The 5,805-nt window shown below is 36.7% G+C and overlaps 1 annotated feature.

The window, feature by feature from the left end:
- Positions 2,451-3,040: an enhancer, noted in NCBI's record as "NANOG hESC enhancer chr8:115914616-115915205 (GRCh37/hg19 assembly coordinates)". NCBI's record gives its function as "activates a minimal SCP1, AML or CMV promoter by ChIP-STARR-seq in primed H9 embryonic stem cells {active_cell/tissue: H9 hESC(primed)}" and the evidence as "EXISTENCE:reporter gene assay evidence [ECO:0000049][PMID:30033119]".

The raw sequence follows: 5,805 nt of genomic DNA, 5'->3' as shown, positions 1-5,805 counted from the left end.
ATATTTCCCCAGGCTTTTTTCATTGTTGTTCTGAATATTTCATGAAATTAACATTTTAAGAGCCCAGAATAGTTAGACTGAATAAAATATTTAGGACAAATATTTCGCTAAACATCCTTCCATTGGATTTGTCTGATTGTTTCTTCATAATTGAGTTCAAGTTAAACATTTTAATAGAAATGCTACATAAGTGACATTGTGTCTTAAACCATCACATCAGGTCAGGAGACCCCCACTGTGATTTTGCACCTTTATTGATGAAGTTAGATTTGGAACAATAGTTAAGGAAGTTTCTACCTCTGACTCTGTCTCCTTTTTACATTTTGTTCTAACAAAGCAGTCACTTGGAATTTAATCTTTAATCTTGGTCAGTCACTCAACCCCAGTGTCTAATTAGTCGCCTTCCTTTCTATCTCCAAATTTTGAAGCCCAAGTATATTCTAAATTACAGTCTTTCCCTGTTGTGATTCTCCAAGCTTGCTCAGTTAAGAAACCCAATTAACAGGTATATACTAAATAATTTGAAGAAAATGGTTTTTGTTGATGAGATCATTTCAGTACAAACTAAAATTGTTTTAAAGAGTGAATGAAGGTATCCTTAATAATATCATCAGAGCAGATCTTAATACAAATTATTATATCTGTTAGAAAATCAAATCCATTACACCCAAGATAAGCAGGAAGGACTTTTTTATTTTTTAACAAATGAGAAAAAGTCATATAGAACCATTGGATTGGCTGGAGAAGCACAGTCTTGAGTTCTGTTTTAGGGGCACTACTCAAAGCTCTATAGCAGCATGAGGGAACTCTACTTCTTCATGACCAGGAAGCTATCACCACTTCTGTGAGATCAGTACCACATTGCTTCTTTGACAGTCCACACTTGCCAAAGAGATGCTTTGTGCTTTGCCTCCGGACATCTATAGAACTACTAAGTGCTAGACTATTGGATTTTTTAAACACTGCTAAAAAAAATTTGAAAAGCTCATATAAACTTACTTGCCAACAGAAACAACAAAAAGAAAATAAAAGAAGAAGCATTAACAGCAGATTCATTATGCTTCCACTGTCAGAAATTCTGAAATAAAATTTACTCTCTAGCATTCCCCTGTGGGATCATCTTGAAGCTACTCCTGGGAACTTTTCCAGCATCACACACTTTCTTGGCTTCTTCTCTTTCCTCCTTTTCTGACTCACAACAGCCTTCTCCTGGGAACACTTCCGCAATCAGATACTTGCCATCCCCCTCAGGGGTGCTTCTGGAATATCTTGTCTAAAATATAATCTGGTTAAAGAGCACTTCCACAAGCCCCCATATTACATCTGCCCACTTATCTGCAAAGATGTTCATGTGTTCAGCTGTTATTATTGTTATTTTATCCATGTGCTTCTGCTGTTATAATGATGAATTATTTATCATTATAATTCCCTACTAAAGACATCACTTCAGCTTTTTCCTCTGTCTTTTCCATTCTCTTTCTTCTCATTATTAGAATGTCACCATCAGTATATAAATACGATGTTGCTTTCCCCAGCTATTGCTAGAGCTCATTTATCTTCATTCGTACATAGTAAATCCCCTTAACAGTGTTATACATATAACTTTCTTCTTAATATTTCCACATGAATATCTTCTAGAAATTTAAAGTTCACCTGTCTCACCATAAGCTCCTCATCTTTCTCTGACTATCCTTCCCAAACATGCACAGGTTTCCACATCTTGTTAAAGACATGCTCATTATTTTACCTGTTTAATCAAAATTCTTGGAACAACTCTCACATCCCTTATGTCATCGGATGACTTTGAGTGAAAGAGTGACAAATTCTTTTGAATCCACCTTCAAAACATATCCAAAATTTGATCACTGCTTGTCTGTCCTGTTATTCCTCATTCAAGCCACCATCTCTTGCCCCAATGAATGAGATCTTCTGCTGATCTGATAGCAGCTTTGATACTCTAGAAATAATTCTGAATAAGCACCCTAATTAATACTCATATAATAATTTGAAACCATGTCACTTACTTGCTCAGAACCAATAAGTTTCCATCTTATATAGAATAAAAGCCAAAATATTGACAGTAAACTGTAGCATCTTACAAGTTCTCTCTGCAAGACTTGTCACCTCTTCTTCTTTAAGTCTTTTGCTCTAATATTGTCTAATATTATCTTCTTCAGGAAAAAATAACATAGATTACTTTTCTTTCTCACTAAAGTTAAGTGAAGCTCTCCTGAATTCAAAAGTCAATTAGAAGAGAAATAGTTGCATTCTGCCACACATTTCATATAGAAGCTGAAGGACTTTTTTATATATAATGTACCTAGTGCGAACAGAATGAGTTTGTCACTGCTGACTCCTCCTGTTACAGGCGGAGGGCATCCAGGATCTTGGCATCTTGAACAAAGAATTGGACAAAACACACAAACAAAGCAAGGAAGAAATGAAGGGATTTACTGAAAATGAAAATACAGTCCACAGTATGGGAGCAGACCTGAGCATAGGGGCTCAAGGGCCCCATTACAGATTTTTGGGATGTTTAAATAATCTCTAGAGGTTTCCATTGGTTACTTGGTGTATGCCTTATGTATTATATGGAGAAGATGAAGTAAAGTTACAAAGTCATTTACTCAGCATACCCCCTATAGAGAGGATATTTCCTGTTATTGCTGAAATGTGAATTGGCCTTATATTCCCTGCTTCCAGACCCTATTTTCCTGCCTCATTTCCCTGCTGAGAGATGTGATTCTTGTAAATCTTTATGGGAGGTGAAGGGACCGATGGTCTTTCTTATGTAACTGCTTCATGCTGGCTTGGGGAGTAGTCCCTACCTATTAGAGATCACAGAACTCTTGCCCTCCTCTGTCTAGAGGAGGCAGGGTAGCTTCTTGATGGCCAGTGGTGGTGTCTTCACCTGGAACTTGCTTGAAGCTTTGTTGTATAATCATCTGAAGCTTGAAGGTCTCTAGGCAAGAGGAAGTGTATTTGGTTAAAAGATTTGAAGGGGACTTCAGAGGATGGATACCTATGCTGTCAGGAATGTTTGTTATAGAGATTTGTAGGAGAAAAAAATAAAACCTGGTGTGTTCTAGAATCAATGTGTTTCCTTAAAGTCTTAGCACAAATGACTCCATTTTGGCTTGGTTTGGTCTGTTGAGGTCTAGTGCCTGAGCTTATTCCAAAACAATGGCCTCTCATCATTTCGTTTAAAAACTTCCCTCTTTTTGGTCAGGTTCTCACTTAGGTAAGAGTGTGACCAAAACTTAGGGTCTTAGCGCCACTCTTAGTTACCATCATTTTGGATTTCTGGACTCAGCATATCATTCATAGGTTACAGTGTCCTCATGGTTACACATTTCTTTCAGCTCTTGTCATTTTAGTTGAAGAGAGAACATATGGCAGCCTAGAGATGGTTGCATCCAAGCATTTAAAACCTTTGAGAGAATACAGCCTATTAGGGAGACTATTATTATGACTATTGGAAGGATAATAGCAAGAGTTTGGAGTATGCTTCTTATCCCAGGTCACCATAAGCCAAACCTCCTAACATCAAATAGATCAAAGAATTACCTAGATAAAGAGTCTATTCACTTTACTAAGCAATCTCTTTGTTAATCCCCTGCCACTGAATTTCTGTAATCTTCATTTGATGTATTTCTCTATAGGTCACAAGTGCCAGCATCTGCACAGATACTTCTTTGTTCAGCCTATTCTGTCATAACTTTCACAAGAGAATTTGAAGTCTGTTGTGTAACTGTAGCCCTTTACGGTAGAATTTGCTATAGAGCCTATCTGGAGAATACATTTCTAATCATTGTCTCTTTTACTTTAAACCACAGAAGAGGACCTAAAAAATGATACCCTTCTAGAAGAGTGAAGGCCTCCTGGCAATGATCTCTTTAACCCATGATGTGGCTTAAGAGGAGTGAACCCATGTTTTGTTTCTGAATGATGATAAGGCAACATATGTACTATTAAGGTTTCTTACCTATGTTGGGCCTTTATCTTTTATCTATTAAAGTATAAGTTTGGCCGGGTGTGGTGGCTCATGCTCATAATCCCAGCACTTTGGGAGGCTGAGGCGGGTGGATCACCTGATGTCAGGAGTTTGAGACCAGCAAGGCCAACATGGTGAAACCTCATCTCTACTAAAAATACAAAAATTATCTGGGCAAGGAGGCAGGTGCCTGTAATCGCAGCTACTTGGGAGGCTGAGGAAGGAGAACCACTTGAATCCAGGAGGTAGAGGTTGCAGTGAGCTGAGATCATGCCACTGCACTCTAGCCTGGTTGACAACAGTGAGACTCTGACTCAAAAAAAAAAAAAAAAAAAAAAGAAAGAAAGTATAAGGTTATCCAGGTATAAGGCTGGATACAAATTCTTTCACAAATAAAAGTATATCCTGTAAGTGCACACTACTGATCCCGTTTCTACTTCTATTGTTCGTCGAGGCATAAGCAAGGGTAAGATAAGAGTTTCATGATAGTAGAAGTCTTAATCTGTGAACTTGGGAAAAGCTGTTGACATAGAGGATGCCATCTTCTTCTTGGGAGAAATTTCTCTGGTTAGTTTTACCTTAAGGGTTCCAATGGATGTACACTTCCAAGAGTGTGAAGGGACACTTCTCAGTTGTCAGATTGTGAATCCAAAGTTTAAGGTCCTGAAGTTTTGTTGTAGTGTAGATGGTAAGGACAGTTTTTGATGTTCTCAGAAGGTCCAGGCCATAAAAGGCTTTTATACATGGTGAAAATACACTGTAGCATAATAATCTACTGTTATAATATCAGCCCTCTTGCATGGGAAAGCTTTTGTGCAACCAGAAAACATGCATTGAAAATAACAATCGAATGGAATCCCTTTGTAAAATGTTTAAGTGACCCACCAGGTGACCAAATATACCTGAAACTGTAATTGTTTTCCCAGGAACGTGGGACCAAACATTGGTTATAAACTATTTTAGTAATTTGTAAGTTACCACACCAATGTATTCAATTTGGATTATTTTATCTTTTCTATGATGAGTCATAGAATGCAGAGCTTTTAATAAAAGCTGTAAGGACCCAGTAAGGGCAAAGTGGCCATGCTGGTTCTCCATGAGTCCATGCTTAATTAACATTAGACATATCCTCTTGAATACTGGTTGTTTATCCAAATTATGTGCATAGCACTGGTAACTGATGGGTTATCATAGGTAATTTGACTTAGACCATGGAGTTAATACTAATTGCATATTTAAACAATTTTAGTATGGCTTAACATAAAAATTTGACAAAGTATATTTTCTTGGTATTTAATTAATTTTTTGTTCTACTTGGGTCAGTAGCTATTTACATGGAAATTTGGTTATTTCTGTGGTTTACAGTAACTTAAGAGAATAACCATAATTATAATTGGCAGCATATACTTACACATCGGAATTTTAGAAATCTGGTACAATTTTGGAACATATATTAGTATTAATTCAAAAAAATACAACCTACAGAAATTGAACATCATTTTGATAATCCCATGTACCTAAACATTCCACATAATCCTGTATACCTCTTTTCTGGATGTTTTCAAGGGTCCTCTGATCTATCCAAAAAACCAGGCATTAGGAAAGACAATTGTGAAACTAAAGTTTGATTTTGGAATTCCAGATTACCATAAATTATTTATTTTGTCAAAATAATGACAAATTTTAAAGAAGCAAAACCTTTTACAAAAAAGAAAAGAAAGCCCACGTTCTACTATTCTTACACACCTTGCATGTAAAAACTGTTTCTAATAGTCTCAGTTGTATGCTATAATGGCAACTCTTAGGAATTT

Source organism: Homo sapiens, chromosome 8 (genome assembly GCF_000001405.40).
Source record: "Homo sapiens chromosome 8, GRCh38.p14 Primary Assembly".
Classification (NCBI taxonomy): Eukaryota; Metazoa; Chordata; class Mammalia; order Primates; family Hominidae; genus Homo; species Homo sapiens.
Note: the sequence above shows the minus strand (reverse complement) of the source record. Positions and strands in the feature narration are given on the sequence as shown.